Genomic DNA, 27,195 nt, shown 5'->3' with positions numbered 1-27,195 from the left:
TGTGAGGCTTTATTTCAAGAGTCTCAAACCTACCCCATTGATCCATCTTTCTATCCTTATGCAAGAGCCATGCTGCCTTGATGACTGTAGCTTTGCAGCCCATTTAGAAATTGGAAAACCTGAGTCCTCAAACTTTGCTTTTCTTTTTCAAGATTGTTTTAGCTATTTAGGGTCCCTTGAATGTCCACATAAATTTTAGGATCAACTTGTCAATTTTTGAAAAAAGAAATCTGAGATGTTGATCGGAATTGCATTAAATTGGTAGAACAATTTTTTTTTGGAGTGTTTCAATCTTCACAATATTAGGTCTTCCAATACATGAACATAGGATTTTTTCCCCCATTACTTTGGTCCTCCTTAACTTCTTCCAATGGTGTTTTGTAGTGTTAAGTGTCCAAGTCTTGTACTTTTTTGGTTGCATTTGTTCCCAGGAATTTTATTGTTTCCTTACAACCTTTTTGCTTGCTTTTTGCTGTTGTAAAGAAACACAGCTGACTATTGTGTATAGTCCTTGTGTTCTGCACTCTGCTGAGCTCGGTTATTGGCTCTAATAGTTGTGTGTGTGTGTGTGTGTGTGTGTGTGTGTGTGTCCCTCAGCATCTTCTGTATACAAGATGAGGTTTTCTGTGAATAGAGATAGTTTTGCTTCCTTTTTTCTTACCTGGATGGCTTTATTTTCTTTTCCTGTTATGTTATTCTGGCTATAGCTTCAGTGAAATGTTGCATAGAAGTGGTGGGTGTGGACATTCTTTTCCTGTTCCTGATCCTAGGGGAAAACATCCAGGTTTTCATAGTTAAGCACCGTGTTCACTGTGGGTAGATGGCCTTTATCAGGCTGAGAAAAGTCCCTTCTGTTCCTCCCTGTGCCAAACCAAAGCTGGGAAGCCTGTGGACACTTGGATTCCTCCTCACTCTGAGCCCAGAGATGGAGGGTGCACTTCAGCCTGTGTTCAGCCACACCGTCTTGGATCCTTGAAGCAGCACAGTTTCCAGTGTTGTCCTACAGAGCATCTCAGGGACACAGCTCATTCTAGTCTCGCTTCCCCATCTCCTGGCTTGACCCACAAACTGGGGACTGGCTGGACCCAGAGAGCACCCATTACATCCCTTCCTAGGCACTGAGGGCAAAGTTCTCCTTCTCTCCCAAACATATCCTCCCATGGGGAAGAAGTAGGAGTCCAAATTCCAACCAAGACAGACTGAATCCCACTGAGATACAGCTGGGACTCCCTGTGTACTAATGAGAGATACTCACTCATTCACTCATTCATTCCTCGTCTTCATTCATTCATACATACTGCTAGTGGTTCCTTCATTAATCAGTTCAACAACTGTTTCTGGAATGGGAGCTGGGCCTGGCACACTGTTACAGCAGTGGGAGCAATAAGCTATCAGGGAGGAGGGGAAGGACATGTGGCCAGTTTGCCAATGAGACAGAGGCTGGAAGAAAAGAGTCAGTGAGACCAAGGCTGAGGGATGGAGAATTTATTTAGTGCTGCACCCAGATGCATTTTGGATTTCCATAGATACATGTGATCATTTGGGTTGCAGGACATCCATCTGCAAATGTCGTGAAGCTCCTGGCAGGCAAAGGAAAGAAGGGTTTGCTGTCTCCCATGGAATTATCAAGAAGGGGAATTCCAGGCTCTTGCTTGGCATGAGGGCAGCCCCCAGTGCAGTTTGGCTCAGACATATGGGGGCATGTGGGAAAGAGGGGCAAAATTGCCTGGGTCTTGGGATATTCTTATAGGGAATGGGCAGGGAGTGGTTCATTCCATTTCCTCAGGGGCTGGAAAAAGACGCCCTGAGCCAAGGGCTCTTTTCAGATCCAGAAGGGGATGTGCTTCAAGGGTAGTCACTTGTTGGAAAGCACAGATCTTCAGGAGCTACCTGAGGTTTCCCACTAGAGCCTCAGATCTTGCACTGGTAGCACACAGGGACACAGCATCTGGACTGGGAGCAGCAGGGCTTGCAGCAGCTGGACTGGCAGCAGGATGACCCACAGCCTGAGGATGAGCAGCAGGGCTTGCAGCAGCTGGATTGGCAGCAGGATGACCCACGACCCGAGGAGGAGCAACAGGGCTTACAGCAGCTGCACTGGGAGCAGTAGGGCTTGCAGCAGCTGCACTGGCAGCAGGATGACCCACAGCCTGAAGAGCAACAGCAGGGCTTGCAGCAACTGCACTGGGAGCAGCCACAAGAACCACAGCCTCCCTTGGAGCCCCCACAGGAGCCACAGCCCCGCTTGCCACAGCTAGAGCAGGAACAGGCTGGAACACAGCAGCACACGGGCTTGCAGCAGTAGACGGGTGCACAGCAGCTGGGGCCACAGCCCCTGCAGCCAGAGCCACAGCTCCCACAGCTGGAGTCACAGCCTCCACAGCTGGAGCCACAGCCTCCGGAGCAGCCACAGCAGCCCATGGTTCTGGTGGATTGAGGGTGGAGCAGGTAGAGGAGCAGGTGAGAAGGAGGTGCAGGTGTGGAGCCCCCTGAGCCCCGGCTCTTTATATCCCACATAGGAACACACCATTGTTTCTCTTTCCGGTTGCTGTTACACAGCTCCTGGAGGTATGTCTTGATTGTTTTTCTTTGGCTATGTTGATATTTTCTGGATCCAAGTATGAGCCCTTCCTCCTGAGATGATTTCCTTGTGGAATTCATACTGAAAGGAAAAACAGCTCCAACGCTGGCTCACCTCAGGAGGAAGTGCAGCTTCCTCAAGGTCTGTCCCAGTTCCTAACTCTTATTCTTCCTGGGCCTTTGAGCAGATCCAGTCAGCTCCCGAGCCCCAGCTTCTTCTCCTGCAGAGGGGTGCTAGCAACACCAGCCTCCGGGGGTTGCCTGAGAATTACCTGAGATCATTCATGTATTGCGTCTTTTGCAACACCCCAACTCCCCATCCCCCATGCTCATGCAGGGTTCCGTCTTGGCAGGACTGGGTCAATGTTGTGGGTTTTTGACGTTTGATGCTGTGAGACGCCCTCCCTCCCCAGAGCAGTGCCACTCTCTACCTGATTCCTGCTGATTCCCCCAGGGATGTGGTATCTTCTCTGTGGCAACTGTGGCTGAGGATGGCAGGGTTCTCAGCAGTGGGGAAGGAGGCATCCTCTGTCTACCTCCTCCCTATTCCTGGACCAGGAATAGGCCAGGGCAATGGGCTCTGTGATTACAGAAGGGAATTTCACACAGCATGGTCCTTGGGGACACGTGAGCAGAGCTTCCCGCTGCTTTGAAACTATTGTCTGGACAGGTTCTTCTCTTGGAGGAAAACAAAGCTTGGAGCAGAACTTGGAGGGTGGTAGGGGGACCATGATGGGTACAAAGAGCAGCCAAGAGACAGGAAGGATACTCCAGCTAGGAGGCAGGGCACCAGCAATGGTGTGGAGGCTGCAGGTGCAGGAACCCATCGGTACGGTCCACACTCAGATGCGGTTAAAATGTGTGATGAGTGGATGTGCAGGCTTACGACATTCCAGTGTGCCTCAGCTGACTTGGGGTGAAATCCAAACCCCTGACACTGGCCCCATCCACCTCTCCAGCTGGATTTGACCGTGGCCTTGGCCACCCATCGTTGCAGAACCAATCAGCCCAAAGCTCAGTGGATCAGTAGTTCAGATCCGGCACTGGATGGTGGCACAGGCCGCATGATTTGTGGGGTCTCAATTGGGAAGGTACCAATGGCTAACGATGGCAGCATGGCTTGGCTGGGCTGTATTTTGGGACCTCAGTTCCGGCTGTCTGCAGGGTTCCTTGGTTTTTCTGTAAATTATGTCAGCTGGGGCTGGCTTGTCCAAGATGCTGTGTTCACACACCTATGGGATGGCTACAACAGGTGAGGCCGGACAGATCTCCCTCCCCTCCCCCACCTCACGGCCTCTTCCCACGGCTGGCTTGGGCTTCCTCACAGCATGGTGGGCTCAGGGCAGCTGTACTTCCTAGGAGGTCACTCGAGCAGAGGCTAGAAGGTGCCTTATGACCCAGCCTAGGAATCCTAGAGTATTTCTCCCTCCTCAAGTCACTGAGGCCAGCCCAGATTGCAGAGAGAAGAGAAAGTCCACCTCTCCGTGGGAGGAGAATGACTTGGTGTCATCTTCAGACTGCCTCAATCATTCTTCATCCAGCCCTGGATTGGTGCCGGGGCCACACCGCACTCCTCCTTACGACCTGTGTGCTGGCAGTTCCTTACATGGAACAGACTCACCCAGGACCGCCCTGGACTGCGTCCCTCCTGTCTGCCCAACTCAGATCCACCTCTGACACCCCGTCCCGAGATAGCTACCCCCACCACCTTGCACTTTCTGTTTCATTTATTGATTCCCACGATGCCAAGCTGGCTCTGCTCTCATCCTTGTTTGTTCTTAGAGGTGTGTGTCCCACTCCAGGGGGGTGTGAGTTCTGAAGGGGCAGCGACTTTATCCCACACGCAGCCATGTAGCTGTGTCACCAACACCTGGACATGCTCCATCATCGTCATTGAGAGAGGGAGGTGTTAACTGAAGAAGGACGAGGTCGTCAATTTGGAAAGGAGCGCTTTACTTCTCATAAAGTGCTGCGGGCTGAGTGTGGCTGTTCTGACTGGTTGGGAGGCGCAGCCTCTGGTAGGAAGCTGGAAACAGACACTTGGAGGGAGGGAAGAATAAAGCAGAGATCTACACTGAGTGGGGGTGGCTGAATATGCATATTCAATAAGCTGTGGGAGGGACATGAATATTGATAAGAGGAGAAACTGAGACATGAGGCCAGCTGGACTTCTTGGGTCCCGTGGGGACTTGGGGAACTTTTCTGTCTTACAAGAGGATTGTAAAATGCACCAATCAGGAACTTTCCTGTCTTGCAAGAGGATTGTAAAACACACCAATCTGCACAGGATTCTGAAAGTAGCCAATCGCAGGGAGGATTGAAAAAAAGGCACTCTGATAGGACAGAAACGGAACATGGGCGGGGCCAATAGGGGAATAAAAGCTGGCCACACAGCCAGCAGCGGCAACCCACTCGGGTCTACTTCCACGCTGTGGAAGCTTTGTCCTTTCGCGAATAAACAATAAACCTTGCTGCCACTGACTCTTTGGGTCTGTGCCATCTTTAAGAGCTGTAACACTCACTGCGAAGGTCCGTGAAAGTCCATGGGTGCATTCTTGAAGTCAGCGAGACCACGAACCCACCAGCAGGAACCAACTGCAGACCCAAAACCAGGCATATGCGCAATCCAGCTTCACCCCCTCTCTATGTGCAAAAACCAGAGGTGTTAGCCTGATCTGAGGGTGGAGCTTTTGGCCCTCTGATGTCAAAAGGTGAAGCAGCGGACTCAGAAGACTTCCTTGCGCCTCTTCCGTAGAATGGCCAGGGCCTCTCCGTGGTGGATCTCCTATCAAGAAGGAGGGGGCAATGTCAGGGGTACACTGATCTCCTCAGTGCAGTCTCCACAGAATTGGTTTCTGTTTTCCCTGAGGGGAGGGAGCTGGGTCATGGCTGGCCAGGGAGTAGGAGAAGGGCGCAAGTCCAGCTTCCCATCCCCCCGTAGCCAGGAACTCAGCTTCCAAGGTTTCCCGGTTAACCAAACATAACATTCTAAGACCTCCTCCCCGACCATCTGAATGGACTTCCTCCTCAGCCAGGGCTGTTTTAAAATTTAACCTGAGACACTATGATGGGCAGTGGGGGTCAGACATGCCTCATTCTACCTCTCTGGCATTAACATCCACACAGACTTTAAGTCCGATAACAAACGTCTCACAACCTCTTCTCTCTGAAGCCTGCTACCTAAAGGCTTCCTCTGCAAATAACAACCTGGGTCTCCATGATCCTTTATCCTAACCCAGACATTCCTTTCTGTTGATCCCAGGTCTTTAGACAAGCTCAACCAACTGTCAACCGGAAAATTTTTACATCTACCTATAGCCTGGAAGCACTCCCCACCCTTCAAGTTGTCCCACTTTTCTGGACCAAACCAATGTAATGTCGACAAAAAGAGTCAAACTCTGTAAAATATTTGAAGAGAGATTTATTCTGGGCCCAATATGAGTGACCATGGCCTGAGACACAACCCTCAGGAGGTCCTGAGAACATGGGCCCAAGGTGGTCATGGTACAGCTTGGTTTTACACATTTTAGGGAGGCAGGAGACATCAATCAAATACATTTCAAAATTACATTGGTTTGGTCCAGAAAGGCGGGACAACTCAAAGCGGGTGGTGGGGGATGGGGGGTGAGGGGGTTCCAGGCTATAGGTAAATTTAAACATTTTCTGGTTCACGGTTGGTTGAGTTTGTCTAAAGACCTGGGATGGATAGGAAGGGAAAGTTCAAGTTAAGATAAAGATTGTGGAGACCAAAGTTCTTTTGAAGTCTGATAGTGGCTGCCCTTAGAGACAATAGATGACAAATGTTTCCTATTCAGACCTTAGTTAATCTCTTTAGGACTGGGAGGGTCTGGAAGAAAAAGATCTAGCTATGTTAATAGAGATTCTTTGCAGATCCAAATTTTCCCCCACAAAGGACGCTCTGCAGGGCCATTTCAAAATACAGCAAAGAAACATGTTTTGGGGTAAAGTATTTTGATTTTCTTCCTTGTCTCATAATGTTATGCCAGAGTCGGGTTGGAAAGTAAGTCACAATATTTAGGGCTAAACAAAACCTGTCTGTTGAGAGTTTATGATTTGTAGGGCATGCGCAGACCCCTTAGATAGGAATTTGAGCAAGATTAAAAAAAACAACAACAGAGTTTAGGCCTTAGTATTTCTTAAATGTATTTGATTAAAGTCTCATGTCTCCCTAAAATATATAAAACCAAGCTGCACCCCAAACCTCTTGGGCACCTGCTCTCAGGACCTCCTGAGGGCTGTGTCACGGGCCATTTGTCAGTCATGTTCGGCTCAGAATCTTTTAAAATATTTTACAGAGTTTGACACTTTTTGTCGACACCCCCTTGGCCAAGAGGGGTCCCGTTCAGTCAGTGGTTGCGGGGGCGAGGCTAGGATTTCCTTCCTATTTCTCAGGGGAAGGCTCTTGCTTCTGCCTGCTGCTCACGTGTTGAGTGAGTTCCTCTGGTTGGCAGCTGGGCTTGAAACCGCCTTTGCAAAGTTATGACTGAGACAGTGAGAGATCTAACTTAGCCCACTCCACCTTGCTTCTAATCTCCAAGCTGTCCTTGTTCATTCCTGGGTGTTGGCTGAACTAACTTTGGGAGAAATTTAGTTGGTAGTTTATAGTTTAAACAAAGACAGTAACAACCCTTTCCCAAAGCAGACCACCTTCTTGCCTGGGGACTAGACTAACATTAGCCACAAGATTAGAAATTACAGTTTAGGAGTCATGTAGCCAGAGGTCATTTACAAGATTCTGACCCTCCCTGCACTTGATGGATCAGGTAGCACCACCCAGATCAATAAACTGGCTCATCTGATCTTGTGGCCCCCACCCAGGAACTGACTCAGTGCAAGAAGATGGCTTCGACTCCTTGTGATTTCATCCCTGACCAATCAGCACTCCTGGATCACTGGCTTCTCCCCACCCACCAAGTTGCCCTTAAAAACTCTGCTCCCCAAATGCTCAGGGAGACTGATCTGAGTAATAATAAAACTCCGGTCTCAGGCACAGCCAGCTCTGTGTGAATGACTCTTTCTCTATTGCAGTTCCCCTGTCTTGATGAATCAGCTCTGTCCAGGCAGCGGGCAAGGTGAACCCCCTTGGGCAGTTCCAGGCTCATGGCTTCGTTAGCTAGATTAAGTTCTACCGGCTCAAGTGCTAGAGGTCAGGAAGGGACCCTTCTCTGGAGCAGATCTGGGATCTTGCTTACAGGGCGTCTGTCCATTCTCCTGCCTTCCTCAGACGTCAGCAGCCCCTGTGTCTGTCCTCCAGACGACCCTGGGCTCCCTGGCCCTCCTCCACCTGCAGCTGCTGTGGCCTCGCTCTCAGGGTGGCCTGGCTCTCCTCTCCATCCCACTCCTGCAGCGGCCCTGATGCCTCTCTTACCCGATGTATGCAGTCTTTCTCAGGAGCCGTGGGGAAATAGAGCTGGCAGGCTGTTAGTGACTCACCAAGGCAGGGACCTCTGGGGATTTACATGCTCGTACCCATCCACATTGGGCCTTTCAAAGCCTTTTTTTATTTTTTGAGATGGAGTCTCGCTCTATTGCCTAGGCTGGAGTGCAGTGGTGCCATCTCAGCTCACTGCAACCTCTGCCTCCCGGTTCAAGTGATCCTCCTGCCTCAGCCTCCTGAGTAGCTGGGATTACAGGCATGTGCCACCAAGCCCAATTAATTTTTGTATTTTTAGTAGACACAGGGTTTTGCCATATTGGCCAGGCTAGCCTCGAACTCCTGACCTCATGACCCACCCACCTCAGCCTCCCAAAGTGCTGGGATTACAGGTGTGAACCACTGCGCCCAGTCTCAAAGCCTTTTTAAAAGCTCGGCTGTTTTCTTCCCTGATTCGTAATAGCTTCCTCCTGCAGCAGTTGCACAGAACCAAATGATGGAAAGGACTCATGGACATGCGCAAAGCACACTGACCTGGAGCTTTCACTGTGTGAGAAGAGACGGTCTTGACCTTCCTTCTTGGCTCCCGGCACAGAGCTCCTCAAGCCCTTGCAATTTCTCTGAGGGATATTGTTTTCTTGGGTTTTTTAATTATGTGTTGGTTTGTTTGTTTTTTGTTATTCCTAATAAGCTCCCTTAGATCACACTTGTGTTTATGTTAATGAGGTGACTTAGGGTGGGGCCCCTAGATGGCCTCAGGATGAGACTGGTGGTCAGAAAGACCCAGTGAGAAGAGCCTGGGAACTCAGCTCCAGGACAGGGAGGGCTGCAGGTGAGAGCTCTGCAAAACTGAATAGTGAGATCCCATCAGCTTCCAGTTGGTGCACACATCCCCCCGCCGGGAGAGCGATGACTCCGGCTCCACGGGACAAAGCTCCCACACTCAGGACCATCCTGGACCTCACCCTTGGTGCCTCTTCACCTAGGGGTTCGTCTGTGTCTCATCCTCTATAATAAACCAGTAAACATAAGCTAGTGTTTCCCTGTGTTCTGGGTGCTGTTCTAGCAGATTATCAAACCCAAGGAGGGTGGTGTTGAGTAAAGAAAAATAAAAATCTCAGAACCCCAAGCCCTCTCGCAAAAGCAGCACTGTTCCTCCACAGCCTGTGTTGCTGTGTGTTTCGCTTGCCAGGCCCAGGAAACGGCAAAGGCTTCAGGTGTCTCAGGACACTTCCTCCACAAATCACTCATAAATATGCGCTATGCTGGTTGCAAAACCTCTCAAGAAGTGCGTCCTGCCATCAACAAGGATGTGCCCGTTGTGACTTCAGGCCTGCAATCCAAGTCCAGCTCCTAAAACGAAAGTGTTCCATTCCACACTGATCATATAGATTATGAGTTTATCTTCCCAGAAGCAGAACAAAAACAAGATGACACCAGTCCCTCCTCCATCTACCCAGAGAGGTCTGCACAACCGACTCTTCCTTTAGTCCCTTTTTCTCTTCAAACGTTCACCTTACCTCATGTAAAATGTAGATTTACTGGGCACTAACTAAAGTCTCACAGGAATGCAATCATTTGCCTAATGCTTACCTGCCTCTTCCTACCTGCCTGCCCCCCTTTAAGGAAATGTATAAATACCAAACTTCCCAAAAATCTCTCTGGGAAAACAGCCACAGATGTGCCTGCATCTTGCATTTTTCTCAGGTGCGCCTTAAAGCAGGCTTAGTAAACCTTGATGGACAGAGAGCTTTGCCTCAGCCACTCATTTCAGGTATCAGTGTAAACCCTGATTTATAGCCCATCGGTTAGAAGCTTGGGAGGCTGGACTCGTGATTGGCATCTGTATTAGTCCATTTTCACACTGCCGATAAAGACATACCTGAGACTGGGCAATTTACAAAAGAAAGAAGTTTAATGGACTCACAGTTCTACCTGGCTGGGGAGGCCTCACAATCATGGTGGAAGGTGAAAGGCACATCTCACATGGTGGCAGACAAGATAAGAGAACTTGTGCAGGGAAACTCCCATTCATAAAATCATCAGATCTCGTGAGACTTATTCACTATCATGAGAACAGCACAGGAAACACCCACCCCCGTGATTCAATTACCTCCCACTGGGTCCCTCCCACAACACAGGGGAATTGTGAGAGCTACAGTTCAAGATGAGATTTGGGTGGGGACAGAGGAAAACCATGTCAGCCTCTGAAGTGGGGACAGTCTTGTGGGACTGAGCCCTTCGCCTGTGGGATCTGAAATGAACTCTGTTTCAAGATGGGAGTGAATTGCAGGACACCCAGCTGGTGTCAGAGAATTGGTCAGTGTGGAAAGAGGCAGAAAATTGAGTAGTGTGGGGAAAACCCGCACATCAGGAATGAGAGTGTTCTGTGTGAGAGTGTAGAGAAACTACGTTTTTCTCAGATTCATGCTGACAACAGAAGCAATACCACAGGTGGAAGAAAACAGAGAGGGCCTCTTTCTGGTCCAGCCACAGGGTGGAGGCCGTTTTTGACTTTCACCTTCCTCTGTGGGTCCAGCTCTCTCTTGCTTGTTGGCTCTGAGGATTATTTTATTTTTTCAACAGCTCAGTGACTTAAAAAATATATGTTTTAAATACAGCACTTTAAAACTTTATTTATTTATTTAGAGATGGAATCTCATTCTGTCACCCAGGCTGGAGTGCAGTGGTGCAGTCTGGGCTCACTGCACCCTCTGCTTCCCGGTTTCAAGCGATTCTCCTGCCTCAGCCTCCTGAGTAGCTGGGATACAGGCGCCCACCACCATGCCCGGCTCATTTTTGTATTTTTAGTGGAGACGGGGTTTCACCATGTCCTTTGAGAAGTTCCAGGTTGTGAATAGTGTCTAGTCAACCTTACTTACTAAAACAGAAACTCAGAAGCACATTCTAAAAATTCCGTGTTGTTGAGTTTTCACTTTCTTGTCACAGTTCCATCAGACACTCACGGCCTGCCATCCTGTGAGAAGGTGGCTTCCCGAGCAGCCTCCCGTGCTCTGCTGTTACAGACGCCTGGGTCTGGGGGCTCCAGCCTTGCAGCCCACCTCCTCCTCCGCCAGCTCCTGCCTTCCCTCCCCATGAGTCGAACATGCCGGACTTTGGTCTAGGCCCTCCAGCCTCCGGAACTGGGAGAAATGGTGTCTGTTGTTCCGTCTTCCAGGCTTACTCTGTGGGTTTTGTTCTGGCAGCCCGAGCTGACAGAGGCAGCAGGGAAGGGACAGTTGGGGGCCTGAAGCAGAGGTCTAGGTAGGGAGGTGTCACAAGAAGGCAGGAAGGAGGTGTCTTAGGATGTCTTCCAGGAGATGCTGTGGGATTTGGCGACTTGTAGGGGAGAGAAGCCCAAGGGGCCTCCCAATTCTGTATCCTGGAAGATGGGAAAGATGGTGATGCCCCAAGCCAAGTGGATACCACGGCTGAGTTGTGCCCCCTGGTACATACGTTGGAGTCCTCACTGCAGTATCTCAGAATGGCACCTTATTTGGAGATAGATCTTTACAGGGGTGATTAGTTAAAACGTGGACATAATGGAGTAGGGTAGGCCCTAATCTAATCTGTGTCCTTATACAAAGAGATGAGGACGCAGACACACACAGAGGGACAAGCACATGAGGATATAGGGATGGCGGCATCAGTAAGCCACGGAGGGAGGTCTCAGGAGGACCCGGCCCTGAGGCACCTCGATGGCAGATTCTGGCCTCCAAACTGTGAGACGATCCACTCCCGTTGCATAAGCCACATGGTTTGTGGGGCAGCCCTAGCAAACTCACACAGCAGGGAACGGGGGGTTCCCAAATGCCTGGGAGTGCGACTCTGTGAAAATTGTACATTTATCTAATCACACAGAAGTTGAAACAAAAGAATCACAACGCAAACTCGTGGGAGGTGTGGATCGTATTTATTTAGAAGATTCAGCCTAGGCACTTACAAGGCGAAGCCCTGGGGAAAGAAACAAGGCCAGGTCAGAGGTAGAAGAGGAGACTGGGCGCCCCTCCTCCTCAGGAGAGGATCCTGGGGTCTCTAATAATTCTGAGTCCTCTAGGTCAACTCCAAAAACAATCGGAGCTGTGGCAGCTCAGGCAGGATGAAGATGAAGGGTGGAGGAGCCAGGAGGTTGCAGGGACCGGGGAGAGGCGGCAGCAGGTCGGAGGATTCCAGTTTCAGTGTGTTTCCAGCAGGCTCACAGGAGGGGCCCAGGGATGTGGGATCTTGAAGCCCTGAGAAGGTTGAAGTGATGAGGTCAGGAAAGGAAGAGGGGATTCTGGGAGGGTTGATGGGCAGCACCCAGCATGCCAGAAGCCCTCATGACCTCAGAGGCTGAGCAGCTGAGTACTGAGCCCTGGACGCTAGGCTGCCTTAGTCCAGAGGAGGACAGACTCAGAGATGTGCTTCAGGAATTCAGGACACAGCTACAGTCATTCCTGGAGAGCCCAGATCTGTGGGACCAGCTGAGATTTGTAGGCAGAGCCTCAGATCTTGCACTGGCAGCAAATTGGGACACAGCAGCTGGACTGGGAACAGCAGGGCTTGCAGCAGCTGGACTGGCAGCAGGATGACCCACAGCCTGAAGAGCAGCAGCAGGGCTTACAGCAGCTGGACTGGGAACAGCAGGGCTTGCAGCAGCTGGACTGGCAGCAGGATGACCCACAGCCTGAAGAGCAGCTGCAGGGCTTACAACAGCTGGACTGGGAACAGCAGGGTTTGCAGCAGCTGGACTGGCAGCAGGATGACCCACAGCCTGAGGAGCAACAGCAGGGCTTATAGCAGCTGCACTGGGAGCAGCCACAAGAACCACAGCCTCCCTTGGAGCCCCCACAGGAGCCACAGTCCCCCTTGGAGCCCCCACAGGAGCCACGGCCCCCCTTGGAGCCCCCACAGGAGCCACAGCTGGAGCAGGAACAGGCTGGCACACAGCAGCACACGGGCTTGCAGCAGCAGATGGGCACACAGCAGCTAGAGCCACATCCCCCACAGCCAGAGCCGCAGCCCCCACAGCCGGAGCCACAGCCTCCAGAGCAGCCACAGCAGCCCATGGTTCTGGTGGGTTGAGGGTGGAGCAGGTAGAGGAGCAGGTGAGAGGGAGGTGTGCAGGTGTGGAACTCCCTGAGCCTGGGCCCTTTATATCCCTGCCCAGGTGTTTATACTGAACACATGAATACTTCTGTTGTTGTTTCTGCTATTTCACATGCACGAGTGTTATTTTTAATCTCTTCACAATCCCATGAGCCGCCATCAGCTCCAGCCAAGCTCTCCTTTCCTTGGTTTCTAAATTTGGCCTCTTCCTCATAGGTGTTTCCCTTTGTTAGAAGACACTGGGCTCCCTCTCCAGCAGGTGTCCCGGGAGCCTGGGAGACGGTGGTGGCTTGGCCAGCGGGTGGACCATTTTCCTTGGCGCTCAGGGCTCTCCTCAGCGATGCAGACCCTCCACCCCCTGGCATTGGTGTTTATATCAACGGTGGTCATTTTGTAAAAAAATTAAATAAAATTAAAACTAACAAAATAAGCTGAAAGAAAAGGCTGTCTATAGGTTCCACCGCTTAAAAATTTCCAGGATAAATATTTTGTCAAATTTGTAAAACACAGTTTTGAAGAGCGTGGATTTGAGTGTGGCCCTGGTTCTCCTTTGTCTTTCTTACCTCTTCTTCCTGTGGTTCGGCTCACTCCTCCAGACACGGATTAGACCCACGTTCCCTTCAGGCAAGCTGGGCTCACAGAGGGAACAGAGGAACGGGACCCTTTCTAATGCTTTCAAGTTTTCCTCAATTAAGTCTTTGTAAAAATTCCACAAATCAACAGATATGCTTCAAATTTATTCTCCTTGAAGGCTACAAAAATTTTGATTAGCCATCCTCTCTAATGTACTTTTATTTTCCGAAGATTAATTTTAATTTTATATTGAGGTAAAATTTACATGCAGTGAAATGCTTTTTTTTTGAGACTAAATCTCACTGTGTTGCCCAGGCTGGAGTGCAGTGGCATGATCTCGGCTCACTACAACCTCTGCCTCCCGAGTTCAAGCAATTCTCCTGCCTCAGCCCCCTGAGTAGCTGGGATTACAGGCGTGTGCCACCATGCCTAGCTAATTTTTGTATTTTTAGTAGAGAGGGGGTTTCACCACGTTGGCCTGTCTGGTCTCGAACTCCTGACCTCAAGTAATCCACCTGCCTCGGCCTCCCAAAGTGTTGGGATTACAGGCATGAGCCACCACACCCGGACTGCATTTTTTTTTTTTTTTTTTTTTTTTTTTTTTTTTTTTTGAGGCAGTGTCTCATTCTGTCGCCCAGGCTGGAGGGCAGTGGTGCGATCCTAGCTCACTGCAGCCTTGGCCTACCAGCCTCTGCACATACTTTAAGTGTACAATTCCATGAGTTCCGCTAAACATGTACTCGTGTGCCCATCACCCCAACCATGACCAACTGCTTCAACCCCAGAAGGTTCACTTTCACGGCCTTCCCTTCCTGCCCATCACTACAGGCACAGCTTTGCTGACTAGTTTTGCCTGCTATTGAATGTCGCGGAAATGAAATCATTAAAAATGTACTCTGGTTTCTTTCCCTCACGATGTTATTGTGTGTGTCAATGATTTGCCCTTCTTCTTCTTCTTCTTTTTTTTTTTTTTGAGACAGGGTCTTGCTCTGTCACCCAGGCTGGAGTGCAGAGTGGTGCGCTCATGGCTCACCGCAGCCTCGACCTCCTGGGCTGAGGCAATCCACCTGCCTCAGCCTCCCAACGTGCTGGGACTACAGGCATGAGCCACCACGTCTGGCCTTATTCTTCTTTTTTAATCATCGCGTAGTGTTTCGTGTAAAAATACTCTCCACGGCGTTCCTCCATTCTCCTGTTCATAGATATTTGAATTGTTCGCAGTTTGGGGCGATGATAAATAACACATAATCATGCCTTCCAGTCCTTCCGTATTCATGTTTTTGGTTTTAATTTTTTGGTTAAATATTGAGGACTGGCCTTGCTAGACCATAGAGTAGTGTATGCTTAACTTTCTAAGAAACAGACAGCTTTCCAAACGCTCAAGCTGCTTTCCCTTCTCCTCAGCAATGCCTGAGAGCGTCCGCTGCCCCAGGCCTGTCAGTACCGCCATTGGGTTTTCAAATGTGAGGCGTCGGATGGGTGTAAAATTGCCTCTCATGTGGATTTTGATCTGCGTTTCTCTGATGACTAATGTTTGTGAGGGTCTTTTCTTGCACTTACTGGTCATTTTCACATCTTTCTTGTTAAAAGGTTTTGTTAAAATTGTTTGCCCACTTTATTGTAGGGTTATTGAGTTGTTGGAACTCTTCATAAATTCAATATCAAGAATATATGAATGAAATGCTTTGCCATATGTATGTATATATATATATATTTACACATGTATTTTATATACATGCATATATGTGTGAAGGGGGCCAGCCCCTCCACACCTGTGGGTATTTCTCATCAGGTGGGACGACAGACTGAGAAAAGAAATAAGACACAGAGACAAAGTATAGAGAAAGAAAAGTGGGCCCAGGGGACCGGCACTCAGTATACGGAGGACCTGTGCCGGCACAGGCCTCTGAGTTCCCTCAGTATTTATTGATTACTATTTTCACTATCTCAGCGAGAGGAATGAGGCAGGAGAGCAGGGTGATAGTGGGGAGAAGGTCAGCAAGAAAACATGTGAGCAAAGCAATCCGTGTCACAATTAAGTTCAAGGGGAGGTACTATGCCTGGATGTGCACGTAGGCCAGATTTATGCTTCTCTCCACCCAAACATCTCAGTGGAGTAAAGAATAACAGAGCAGCATTGCTGCCGACATGTCTCGCCTCCTGCCACAGGGGGGTTTTTCTGTTATCTCAGAATAGAACAAATGTACAATCGGGTTTTACACTGAGACATTCAGTTCCCAGGGACAGGCAGGAGACAGAGGCCTTCCTCTTATCTCAACTGCAAGTGGCCTTCCTCTTTTACTAATCCTCCTCAGCACAGACCCTTCATGGGTGTCGGGCTGGGGGACGGTCTTTCCCATCCCACGAGGCCATATCTCAGGCTATCACCTGGGGGGAAACCTTGGACCATACCCAGGTTTGCAGGGCAGAGGTCCCTGCGGCTTTCAGCAGTGCATTGTGCCCCTGGTTACTCGAGACTGGAGAATGGCGATGACTTTTACCAAGCATACTGCCTGTAAACATTTTGTTAACAAGGCACGTCCTGCACAGCCCTAGATCTCTTAAACCTTGATTCCATACAACACATGTTTTTGTGAGCTCAAGGTTGGGGCAAAGTTACAGATTAACAGGATCTCAGGGCAAAGCAATTGTTCAGGGTACAGGTCAAAATGGAGTTTCTGATGTCTTCGTTTTCTACATAGACACAGTAACAGTCTGATCTCTCTTTCTTTTCCCTACATATGTGTATATATAATATATATGTATGTATAATACATAATATATAATTTTTCAGTATTTGATTTGCCTTATTATTATCTTATTTTTATAGGGAAACGTTTTTGATTTTGAAGTGCAATTTAACATTTGTTTCTTTGACAGCTAGTGCTTTCTTGTGACCTTTTTGAAAACTCTCTTTCCTAGCTTTTCCTCTAGAAGCATTAGAGTTTTTGTTTCTATATTTAGTTCTATGCTGGATCTCAAGCTAATTTTTGTGTGTAATGTGAGGTAGGAGTTGAGATCCATTTTTTCACATTTTCATCCAATTGTTTCAGCAGCATTTGATAAAAAGACTATCGTGGCCAGGCGCAGTGGCTCACGCCTGTAATCCAGGCACTTTGGGAGGCCGACGAGGTAAGATAACCTGAGGTAAGGAGTTCAACACCAGCCTGGCCAACGTGGCGAAACTCCATCTCTACTAAAAATACAAAAATTAGCTGGGCGTGGTGGTGGGCGCCTGTAATCGTAGCTACTCAGGAGGCTGAGGCAGGAGAATCGCTTGAACCCAGGAGGCAGAGGTTGCAGTGAGCCAAGATTGTGGCACTGCACTCCAGCCTGGGCGACAAAGTGAGACTCCGTCTCAAAACAAACAAACAAACAAAGGTGGTTTGCCTGTAATCCCAGCACTTTGGGAGGCCTATATGGGCAGATCACCTGAGGTCATGAGTTCAAGACCAGCCTGACCAACATAGAGAAACCCTGTCTCTACTAAAAATGCAAAATTAGGTGGGTGTGGTGGCACAGGCCTGTAATCCCAGCTACTCGGGAAGCTGAGGCAGGAGAATTGCTTGGACCCGGGAAGTGGAGGTTGCAGTGAGCCGAGATCATCCCATTGCACTCCAGCCTGGGCAACAAGAGCAAAATTCCATCTGAAAAATGAATAAATAAATGACTATATAAACAAATAAATAAACCAACCATCCTTATCCCACTGAAATCGCTGATGTTTTTAATGAGAATCAGCCGACACTATGGCGAGTTTGTTCCTGTGTCCTGCTCCGCAGGTCTGTATGCTGCTTCCTAATGCAAACACAGCGTCACTGTGACATTATGGGAGATTTTGAAGTCAAGTATTGTGAGACTTCAACCTCATTCTTCTTTTTAAAGATTGTTTTCTTTTTTTCAATTCCTTTGCTTTTCCAACGAAATTTTAGAACCAACTTGATCATCTCAACAACAAAAACATAAATGGATATGGAGGCACATAGATGATAGATGGATGGATAGATAGATAGAGAGATACACAGATGATTCTGAAGAATTGAACTATGTAATTATGGAGGCTGAGCAGCTCCACAATCTGCTGTCTGTAAGCTGAAGGTGTACCCTGCTTGTTTCCAGACTGAGTCTGGTTCCCCGATCACTCTGACCAAGATTCATGCTAAGATGCTCCCTCAGTGACCACTCCACACATAGCCAGCTTCTCCAGGCCCCATACAGGGTCTCCCTTCACTCATTATCCAAGATTCCTTGGGTTGGGGGGACCATCTGGTCTTGAAAATATTCACTAGCGGCAGTGGTGCATGCCTGTAGTACCAGCTACTCGAGAGACTGAGGCAGGAGGATCCTTTGAGCCTAGGAGTTGAAGACTAGCCTGGGCAACACAGTGAGACTCTACCTCTATTGAAAAAAAAAAAAGAAAAGAAAAGAGGAAGAAGAAGGAAAAAAAGAAAATAATCACAAACAAGTAAACAAGCTGACCATGTCTTTTATTTATTTATTTATTTATTTAAGACAGGGTCTCACTCTGTCACCCGGGCGGGAGTATAGTGGTGCAATCATAACTCACTGTAGCCTCAACTTCCCAGGCTCAAGAGATTCTTCCACCTCAGCCTCCCCATTAGCTGGGACTGCAGGTGTGCACCACCACAGCTAATTTTTTTTATTTTTCTGTAGAAAAAAAATAAAAAAATTATTAGCCCAGCTAATAATTTAGCCCAGCTAATTATTTTATTTTTCTGTAGAGACGGGGTCTTGCTATGTCACCCAGGCTGGTCTTGAACTCCTGAGCTAAAGTGTTCCTTCTTCCTTAACCTCCCAAAATACTGGGCTTACAGGAGTAAGCCACCATGCCAAGCCCAAGCTGACCACTTCTAAAAGTGTCCTCCACTCAAGCAGCTCACTTACTTAAGAATATCGCTTATTCCCACACCCCTGCCTCCCAAATCTCTTCCCTGTCTTTGCAGAACCAGCTCTCTTAAATACATTTTCCACAGTCATATTTACAGTGCAAATTTTAAGTAAAATTGCAATGCTTGCAAAAAAGAAAGAAATGTAGGATTCTGTGATGTCACTGAAAGTGACATTGGAGAACATCTGCTGGGAGCCAGGCAAGGCCACTGCAGTGAAGATCAGGCGGTTCACCCTAAAAGAGAAGCTGGCCAAGGAGACAAGATAGGGACTTCCCAATGGGGTGAGTTGACCTCGAAGAGAGGCGTTCGTGAAGGATGAGAAGGAGCTCAGTTGGTTTTGCAACGTGATTCTGTAACGTCATTCTGTAATGTCTTCAGCGTCATTCTGTAACGGCCAACTGTGAAATGAAGGATGTTGCAACAGGCAATCCTATGATTTTATCAAAAAAATGCATAAAATATCCAACACGTGATTTTCTCTTTGTTGATTTCATGGAGAGTTACAACTATGTCCTAAATCTTGCTAACAATTATGTGACATCTGTTCATTTTTAAGGAAGGTTTTGTGGGTTTTTTTGTTGTTTGTTTGTTTGTTTGTTTTTTTGACAGAGTCTCGCTGTGTCGCCAGGCTGGAGTTCAGTGGCAGGATCTTGGCTCACTGCAACCACTGCCTTCCAGGTTCAAGCAATTCTCCTGCCTCAGCCTTCCAAGTAGCTGGGACTACAGATGCGTGCTACCCCGCCCGGCTAGTTTTTGTATTTTTAGTATAGATGAGGTTTCACCATGTTGACCAGGATGATCTTGATCTTTTGACCTCGTGATCCACCCGCCCCAGCCTCCCAAAGTGCTGGGATTACAGGCATGAGCCACCGCGCCTGGCCGGTTTGGGGTTTCTTTTGATTTCTCTTCTACCCCCCACACCACAAGCACAGACAGCATTGGTTCTGCTGGGCCTATTTCCAACAATGGCCGGCAGCAGGCCTTTCTTTGGTGCCTGTTACTGTGATAGTGAGGCTATCTTTAATCTGCAGGTCACTTGGTCCAGCCTGGGCCAAAGACTTCCCCCTCTTCCCTGGAGAAACCTCTTTATTACACAGCAAGACACAAATTTACCCACGGGAGCCACAGGCCAAGCAAAGAGAACGCCTGGTGAGCCACAGTGGGGAGAAGTTTCTGGCGTCTTCTGGATCCACTGACCCCACAGCAGCCCCTCCTGCCCCACTGGCAAGGCTGGAGGCAGCCACCAACTCCCTACCTGTGGTGTGGTCCGCCCTCATGGAATCTCATCAGAGTGTACCCTTAAAGACGGTTCTTTTCATTTCTGCTTTAATTGTCCTTTGCTGCTCAAAGGCCTTCTAAGTCTTATCATTTACCAGGCAGAACTGAGAACTCTGTAGCTCCCCAGGTTTCTCCAGGCTTTCTAGAACTTTCCTCCTGGCTGAAACCAGCCGGTTCTTTCGAGCTCACCCTGTTCTTGTAATGCTTTGATAAATGCAGCCACAATGACCCACGCGGGAGTGGCACTGTGTTTTCTGAACTCTTCCCTCAGGGATACACGATCTAGGACAGTCTTACCAAACACATAATAACTACCTTTCTCGCCTCCGATAGCTTTCCTTTCCACCCACCCCCTGACCAATAAACCAAGGCCACAATGCTATGTTTGTGTTCTGGTAGGTTTCTGGGTCAACCAGGATAGACCAATTACGCTGCTCACACGCGCCACCCCCACGTTTCAGTGACTTCACACGACACAGGCTTACTTCTTGTTCACATCGCAGGTCACTGCACATCAGCTGGTGACTCTGCTCTGTACTTCATCACTCTGGGACTCAGTCGGAAGCAGCAGCCACTGCTTGGAACGTTAGTGGTCATGGTGGGGGAAGAAAGAGAGAATGCAGAAAACTGCAGCAGGTGCTTCAAACTTCTTCCCACTGACGCAAGCAAATCACATGGCCACACCTGACTTAGAGAGGGCTCATGAAAGGGCCACCCTATTACCTGCCATCCAACCTGTTCCCAGAAGGAGAGGAGAACCAGGATGCCTACAAATAGCCCTAATTATCACCCCATTCTGTGCTCTGCGTGGCAATGCTGCCAGTCCTATAGATAGGTTTTTGGCTAAATGAGCTTAAGTTTTTCATTTTTACTCTAACATATGCATTTAAGGCTATAAATTTTCCACTGATTTGGCTGCATGCAGTAAATTTGATAGCCCCATTATTTCATTAGGGGTTACAAAATGATGAGTTTCTAATTCTATGATTTCTTCTTTATTTATAAACTGGAATACTTCCTCTAATTTTGTTACCATAAGATAGAGTTTGTCTGTCAGAGATAGAATAAGTGCCTGATTATTTTCCTTTACTTAGTCATCTTTAAAATAATGAACTGATTCCTAGAATCCTCTAAAGGCAACTAAGTTTTACAGTTTGCATAGGATCTGTATTATTATTTTTTGTGTATGATTACTCACTCCTAGTTTAAACATATTTGATGTGTATCAGTCCATTTAAGAAATTGGTGTTCAGGTTGTCCCAAGTCTGTCTACAGAGAGTTTCTCTAGGTTTGCCTCTCACCATTTTTTTTTTCTTTTTTCTGAGACAGAGTTTTGTTCTTGCTGCTCAGGCGGGAGTGCAATGGCGCCACCTCAGCTCACTGCAATCTTTGCCTCCCAGGTTCAAAGGGTTCTCCTGCCTCAGCCTCCCATGTAGCTGGGATTACAGGCATGCACCACCACACCCAGCTAATTTTTTGTATTTAGTAGAGACAGGGTTTCACCATGTTGGTCAGGCTGGTCTCGAACTCCTGACCTCAAGTGATCCACTCGCCTCAGCAGCCATGCACCACCACACCTGGCTAATTTTTTGTATTTAGTAGAGACAGGGTTTCACCATGTTGGTCAGGTTGGTCTCGAACTCCTGACCTCAAGTGATCCACTCGCCTCAGCCTCCCAAAATGCTGGGATTACAGGCATGAGCCACCTTGCCCGGCTGACTCTTTAGTTCTTTTGATGTGACTGCATTAGTCTTAGTTATCATCTCTGCTTTCTGGGATAACAAGATGTTCTAGATTTGTCTTGTTCGCTTCCAGCCCATTCACCAGAGAAGCCAGGTTCCAGGTAGATACAATAAATAGCATTTGAAGATAACAAACAGTCTTGGTGCTAGGAGTGTTCACTGCTACAGGATGGCTCATTATTTCTAAGTCTTCCAATGGAGGAGGAAACTATTTTTATTTGGATAAAAAACATCATGATTTCATATCGATATATCTAATTCAAATTCAGGATGACAAGGTTTTTACTTAACCTCATCAGTTCCACACCAAAAATTCTAGTTCTGATACCAACCTAATTATGCATTTGCTTTTTCCATACAGCATTCACAGCAGAATAACGACACCACTGCTGCCACCATGACTACTAAAAATAGCTTAGGAATTTTATTTTTGTGTTCTTTCTATGCTTAGGACATATCCCACCAATAAATTGCTGTGTTTCCAAATAACTTGAAATAATTCAACTCTATTAATATTGCCTTTTTTTTTTTTTGACGGAGTCTTGCTCTGTCGCCCAGAATGGAGTGCAGTGGCGCGACCTCGACTCATCACAACCTCCCCCTCCCAGGTTGAAGCCATTCTCCTCCCTCAGCCTCCGAAGTAGCCAGGATTACAGACACGTGCCACCACACTCAGCTAATTTTTATATTTTTAGTAGAGACAGGGTTTCACCATGTTGGCCAGTCAGGTCGCAAACTCCTAACCTCAAGTGATCCGCCTGCCTCGGCCTCCCAAAGTGCTGGGATTATAGGCGTGAGCCACTACGCCCGGCCCTTTCAAAATTCTTAAAAAGCAATATTGGCTTGGTGCTAGGAGTGTTTATTTACAGAGGCAACAGGCTGTGTAACAACAAAGACAATCAGAGTAAGTTGGTTACAAAAACTTCCCAAAGGAAGATGGCAGAGGCCTGGACCAGGGAAAGGAGGCAAGTCTGAACTCCCCAGAGTTTTCAGCAGCCTCTTCTGCTTCTGTGGCCCTGGCCTGAGGAACAGTCCTGTCTCCATCAGATCAATAGCTGGAAAGACCTAGGAAGAGAGGGGTTCTGAGAAAAGAGGGGTCAGCCAGGAAGGAGATGAGAGGCAGAGGAGACAGCCAGCCCCATCCTAGCACCTTCCAGCAACATCAGCATCAGACCCACGCAGTCCGAAACACAACAAGAACAAGAAAACAATAGCCATAGCCATAGTAATGACCCCGAACAACAGAGAAATCAGCAAGATATGTGTTTCAGTTTGTCGGCATGGTATTTTTATTAGTTTGCAACTTTTCATTTAAGATAAAGCAGAGTGTTGGACAGGCAAAGCCACTCCAAGGAAGCCTCTTAAACGCCCACCTTGTTGCAGGTGGGACACTCATGCCCAGCTGCTCCAGCTGGAAAAGACAGGACTTCAAGTGGGTTCAGGAGCTCAGGCCTCTGAATACACAAGCAAAGGCAAGGCTAGCGGGTGAGGGGTGATTCAGCCGCAGTTGCAGTTGACTTGGGAAGAGAATTTGTTAGGAGGGAATGGACATTAATTAGGGTGGACTCTCCTTAGGAAAAGGCAGGCAGATATGGCTTCATCTTATAGTGAGGAATGGACCCTGAGCAGTGGTTTGGGGCTCAACGATGAAGGACAGGTCACAGCTTCGGAAAATGGGGTTAGCAGGACTCACATGAGACCTGAGTCCAGAGCCTCAGATCTTACACTGGCAGCACACGGGGACACAGCAGCTAGACTGGGAGCAGCAGGGATTGCAGCAACTGGACTGGCAGCAGGATGACCCACAGCCTGAGGAACAGCAGCAGGGCTTACAGCAGCTGGACTGGCAGCAGCAGGGCTTACAGCAGCTGGACTGGCAGCAGGATGACCCACAGCCTGAGGAGCAGCAGCAGGGCTTATAGCAGCTGCACTGGGAGCAGCCACAAGAACCACAGCCCCCCTTAGAACCCCCACAAGAGCCACAGCCCCCCTTGGAGCCCCCACAGGAGCCACAGCCTCCCTTGGAGCCCCCACAGGAGCCACAGCTGGAGCAGGAACAGGCTGGCACACAGCAGCACACGGGCTTGCAGCAGCAGACGGGCACACAGCAGCTGGAGCCACATCCCCCACAGCCAGAGCCACAGCCCCCACAGCCGGAGCCACAGCCCCCACAGCCGGAGCCACAGCCTTCGGAACAGCCACAGCAGCCCATGGTTCTGGTGGATTGAGGGTGGAGCAGGTAGAGGAGCAGGTGAGAGGGAGGTGCAGGTGTGGAGCCCCCTGAGCCCGGGCTCTTTATATACCTGTCCAGAGGTCAGGCACAATACAGGGTCGCTTCCTTGTGACTGTTTACGCTATTTTTCCAGAGCTCTATTTTTTTTCCTCTTTGCTAGTGACTTCCTCCTGGCTCAGTTGAGCATCTACTTTCTTTGTTTACTAAATTTGTCTTTTTCCCTATTTGTTTTGGCCCCTACAATTGAAACCTCAGCTCCAGGCTGTCTGGTGCTTCCCGCAAAGCTCCAGGGTGCTGGTCACCTGCTCTCTGCTGACCACATGTGACCAATGGGCAACAGCCTTTGCCCACGTGCTCTCATCTTTCCTGTGTTGACTCCCCCAGGAATATTAATTTCACATTTTTAGATTTCAAAATTATCCATGGTCTTTATATTTTACTCATGCCATTCTCAGTTTTGCATTGCTCTAAAGAAATACTTGAAGCTGGGTAATTTATAAAGGAAAGGTTAGAATGGCTCATGGTTCTGCAGGCTGCACAAGCATGGCACCCACCTCTGCTCAGCTTCTGGGCAGGCCCTCAGGGAGCTTTTCCTCATGGTGGAAGGTGAAGCAGGAGCAGGCTCACCACATCGTGAGAGTGGGAGCAAGGGGTGAGGAGGGGCCACACACTTGCGAACAACCAGATCTGAGTGAACACACTCATCACCAAGGAGATGGCGCTAAGCCAGTCATGAGGGATCCGCCCCCATGACCTAAACACCTCCTTGCAGGCCCCTCCTTCAACACTGGGGATTACATTTCGACAAGAGATTTGGAGGGGACATCCCAACTGTATCATTATCCCCTTGACCCCTCAAATCTCATGTCCTTACATTGCAGAATAGAATCATCTCTTCCCAACAGTCCTCTCAATGTCTTGACTCATTCCAACATCAAGTCCAAAGTCCCAAGTCCAAGTCCCTTCCACCAATGAACTTGTGAAAATCAAAACACATTATTTACTTTGAAGATACATGAGGGTGGAGGCATTGGGTAAACATTCCCATTCCAAAAGGGAGAAATCAGCCCAAAGGAAGGGGCTACAGACCCCATGCATGTCTGAAATCCAGCAGGGCAGCCATTAAATCTTAAAGCTCCAAAATAATGTCCTTGGACTCCCAGTCCCACATCCAGGGTACACTGGAGTGAGGGGTGGGCTCCTAAGGCCTTGGGGAACTCCACCCTTGTGGCTTTGCAAGGTTCGCACCCTGCAGCTGCTCTCATGGGTTGGAGTTGTGTGCCTGCAGCTTCTCCATGCTCAAGATGTAAGCTGCCAGTGGCTCTACCATTCTGGGGCCTGGAGGATGGTGTCCTCCTCCCCACAGCTCAATTAAGCAATGCCCCAGTGGGGACTCTGTGTGGGCCTCCTACTCCACATTTCCCCTCTACACTGCCCTAGTATATATCCTCTGTGCGGGCTCTGCCCCTGCAGCAGGCTTCTGCCTGAGTGCCCAGGCTTTCTCATAAATCCTCTGCAATCTAGGTAGAGGATCCCAAGCCTCCTTCACTCTTGTATTCTACGCACCTACAGGCTTAACACCACATGGGAGCTACCAAGGCTTATGGCTTGCACCCTCTGAAGCCAGAGTTACATTTGGGGTCTTTTGAGCTGAGGCTGGAGCTGGAGTAGCCTATGTGTGGGGAGCAGTGCTCCAAGGCTATGCAGGGCAGTGAGGGCCTGGGGTGAGCCCCTGAAACCATGGTGTCCTCCTAGACCTCTAGGTCAGTGATGAGAGGGGCTGTCTCAAACACTTTTGAAATGCATTTGAAGTCTTTTCCAATTGTGTTGGCTATTAGCACTTGGGTTTTTTTGTTTGTTTTTTGAGTCATGCTAATATCTCTAGCAGGTGGTTGCTCTATAGCCTGCTTGGATTCCTCTCCTGATAATGCTTTTTCATTCTCTGCCACATGGCCATGCTGCAAAGTTTCCAAACTTTTACACTTTGATTCCCTTTTAAATATAAATTCCAACTTTAATTCATTTATGTGCTCTTGCATGTGAGAATACGATGTTAGATTCAGTCAGGCCACAGCTTGAATGTTTGCTGCTTAGAAATTTCTTCCACTAGATATCCTAAGTCATCACTCCTAAGTAGAAATTTTCAGAGCCCCCTAGGGCATGAAGCACAATATGGTCAAGCTCTCTGCCAAGGTGTAACACAAGTGATCTTTGTTTTAGTTTTCAGTAAGTTCCTCATTTCCATCTGAGACCTCATCAGGCTGGACTTCATTGTTCTTATCACTTTAATTATTTTGGACACAACCATTTAACCAGTCTCAAAGGAGTTCCCACCTTTTCCTCATCTTTCTGTCTTCTTCTGAGCCCTCCAAAAATCTTCCAATCTCTGGCCATTACCCAGTTCCAAAGTCACCTCCACATTTTCAGGTGACTTTATAGCAACATACCATTCCTGGTACAGTTTTCTGTATTTTTTGTGTTGCCATAAAGAAATATCTGAGGCTGGGTAATTTATAAATAAAAAAGGTTTAATTGGCTCCTGGTTCTGCTAGTTGTACAAGCATGGCACCGACATCTGCTCAGCTTCTGGTGAGGCCCTCAGGGAGCTTTTATTCATGGTAGAAGGCAAAGCAGGAGCAGGCATGCCACATGGTGACAGCTGAGAAAGAGAGAGCTGGTGGAGGGACAGAGGCCACACATTTTTTTTTTGAGATGGAGTTTTGCTCTTGTTACTCAGGCTGGAGTACAATGGCATGATCTCGGCTCACCGCAACCTCCGCTTCCCAGGTTCAAGTGATTCTCCTGCCTCAGCCTCCCGAATAGCTGGGAGTACAGGCATGCACCACCACACCTGGCTAATTTTGTATTTTTAGTAGAGACAGGGTTTCTCCCTGTTGGTCAGGCTGGTCTCGAACTCCTGACCTCAGGTGATCTGCCCACCTCAGCCTCCCAAAGTGTTGAGATGACATGCATGAGCCACCATGCCTGGTCAGTGCCACATATTTTTAAACAACCAGATCTTGCTCGAACTTATTCATCACCAAGGAGATGGTGCTAAACCATTCATGAAAAATCTACACCCATGATCCAAACACCTCCCAGCAGGCCCCACCAACATAAGATTTGGAGGAAGCATGCAAACTATATTACTGGGGATCACTTTTTTTTTTTTAGATGAAGTCTTCCTCTGTCACCTGGGCTGGATTGCAGTGACGTGACCACAGCTTACTGCACCTTCAAACTTCTGGGCTTAAGGAATCTTCCCGCCTTGGCCTCCTAGGTAGCTGGGAATATAGGCATGTATCACCATACCCAGCTAACTTTTAAACTTTTTGTAGAGATGGGGCCTTGCCATGTTGCTCTGGCTGGTCTCAAACTCCTGGCCTCCAGTGATCC

The 27,195-nt window shown here is 48.5% G+C and overlaps 3 protein-coding genes across 3 annotated transcripts, besides 7 other annotated features; all 3 read right to left on the bottom strand.

Annotated features, from left to right (window-relative positions):
* Positions 646–695: an enhancer, noted in NCBI's record as "active region_5170". NCBI's record gives its function as "activates an Ori minimal core promoter by ATAC-STARR-seq in GM12878 lymphoblastoid cells {active_cell/tissue: GM12878}" and the evidence as "EXISTENCE:reporter gene assay evidence [ECO:0000049][PMID:35858748]".
* On the bottom strand, positions 1,471–2,659 carry KRTAP5-9 (keratin associated protein 5-9). The gene has a single exon (NM_005553.4). The coding sequence runs from the start codon at positions 2,419–2,421 to the stop codon at positions 1,912–1,914; it is 510 nt and encodes a 169-aa protein (NP_005544.4). The 5' UTR covers positions 2,422–2,659; the 3' UTR covers positions 1,471–1,911.
* Positions 1,696–2,240: an enhancer, noted in NCBI's record as "H3K4me1 hESC enhancer chr11:71259885-71260429 (GRCh37/hg19 assembly coordinates)". NCBI's record gives its function as "activates a minimal SCP1, AML or CMV promoter by ChIP-STARR-seq in naive H9 embryonic stem cells {active_cell/tissue: H9 hESC(naive)}" and the evidence as "EXISTENCE:reporter gene assay evidence [ECO:0000049][PMID:30033119]".
* Positions 2,094–2,153: an enhancer, noted in NCBI's record as "active region_5169". NCBI's record gives its function as "activates an Ori minimal core promoter by ATAC-STARR-seq in GM12878 lymphoblastoid cells {active_cell/tissue: GM12878}" and the evidence as "EXISTENCE:reporter gene assay evidence [ECO:0000049][PMID:35858748]".
* Positions 2,241–2,786: an enhancer, noted in NCBI's record as "H3K4me1 hESC enhancer chr11:71259339-71259884 (GRCh37/hg19 assembly coordinates)". NCBI's record gives its function as "activates a minimal SCP1, AML or CMV promoter by ChIP-STARR-seq in naive H9 embryonic stem cells {active_cell/tissue: H9 hESC(naive)}" and the evidence as "EXISTENCE:reporter gene assay evidence [ECO:0000049][PMID:30033119]".
* On the bottom strand, positions 11,870–13,054 carry KRTAP5-8 (keratin associated protein 5-8). Its single transcript, NM_021046.3, has one exon. The coding sequence runs from the start codon at positions 13,021–13,023 to the stop codon at positions 12,460–12,462; it is 564 nt and encodes a 187-aa protein (NP_066384.2). The 5' UTR covers positions 13,024–13,054; the 3' UTR covers positions 11,870–12,459.
* Positions 15,654–15,713: an enhancer, noted in NCBI's record as "active region_5168". NCBI's record gives its function as "activates an Ori minimal core promoter by ATAC-STARR-seq in GM12878 lymphoblastoid cells {active_cell/tissue: GM12878}" and the evidence as "EXISTENCE:reporter gene assay evidence [ECO:0000049][PMID:35858748]".
* On the bottom strand, positions 22,410–23,812 carry KRTAP5-7 (keratin associated protein 5-7). Its single transcript, NM_001012503.2, has one exon. The coding sequence runs from the start codon at positions 23,776–23,778 to the stop codon at positions 23,281–23,283; it is 498 nt and encodes a 165-aa protein (NP_001012521.1). The 5' UTR covers positions 23,779–23,812; the 3' UTR covers positions 22,410–23,280.
* Positions 22,923–23,422: an enhancer, noted in NCBI's record as "H3K4me1 hESC enhancer chr11:71238703-71239202 (GRCh37/hg19 assembly coordinates)". NCBI's record gives its function as "activates a minimal SCP1, AML or CMV promoter by ChIP-STARR-seq in naive H9 embryonic stem cells {active_cell/tissue: H9 hESC(naive)}" and the evidence as "EXISTENCE:reporter gene assay evidence [ECO:0000049][PMID:30033119]".
* Positions 23,423–23,924: an enhancer, noted in NCBI's record as "H3K4me1 hESC enhancer chr11:71238201-71238702 (GRCh37/hg19 assembly coordinates)". NCBI's record gives its function as "activates a minimal SCP1, AML or CMV promoter by ChIP-STARR-seq in naive H9 embryonic stem cells {active_cell/tissue: H9 hESC(naive)}" and the evidence as "EXISTENCE:reporter gene assay evidence [ECO:0000049][PMID:30033119]".

Source organism: Homo sapiens, chromosome 11 (genome assembly GCF_000001405.40).
Source record: "Homo sapiens chromosome 11, GRCh38.p14 Primary Assembly".
In the NCBI taxonomy this organism is placed as follows: domain Eukaryota; kingdom Metazoa; phylum Chordata; class Mammalia; order Primates; family Hominidae; genus Homo; species Homo sapiens.
This window is presented reverse-complemented; position numbering and strand designations above follow the sequence as displayed.

Excerpts from the sequence above, each read along its gene's own strand:
- KRTAP5-8 (NM_021046.3), bottom strand. The coding sequence starts at position 13,023 with ATGGGCTGCTGTGGCTGCTCTGGAGGCTGTGGCTCCGGCTGTGGGGGC.
- KRTAP5-7 (NM_001012503.2), bottom strand. The coding sequence starts at position 23,778 with ATGGGCTGCTGTGGCTGTTCCGAAGGCTGTGGCTCCGGCTGTGGGGGC.
- KRTAP5-9 (NM_005553.4), bottom strand. The coding sequence starts at position 2,421 with ATGGGCTGCTGTGGCTGCTCCGGAGGCTGTGGCTCCAGCTGTGGAGGC.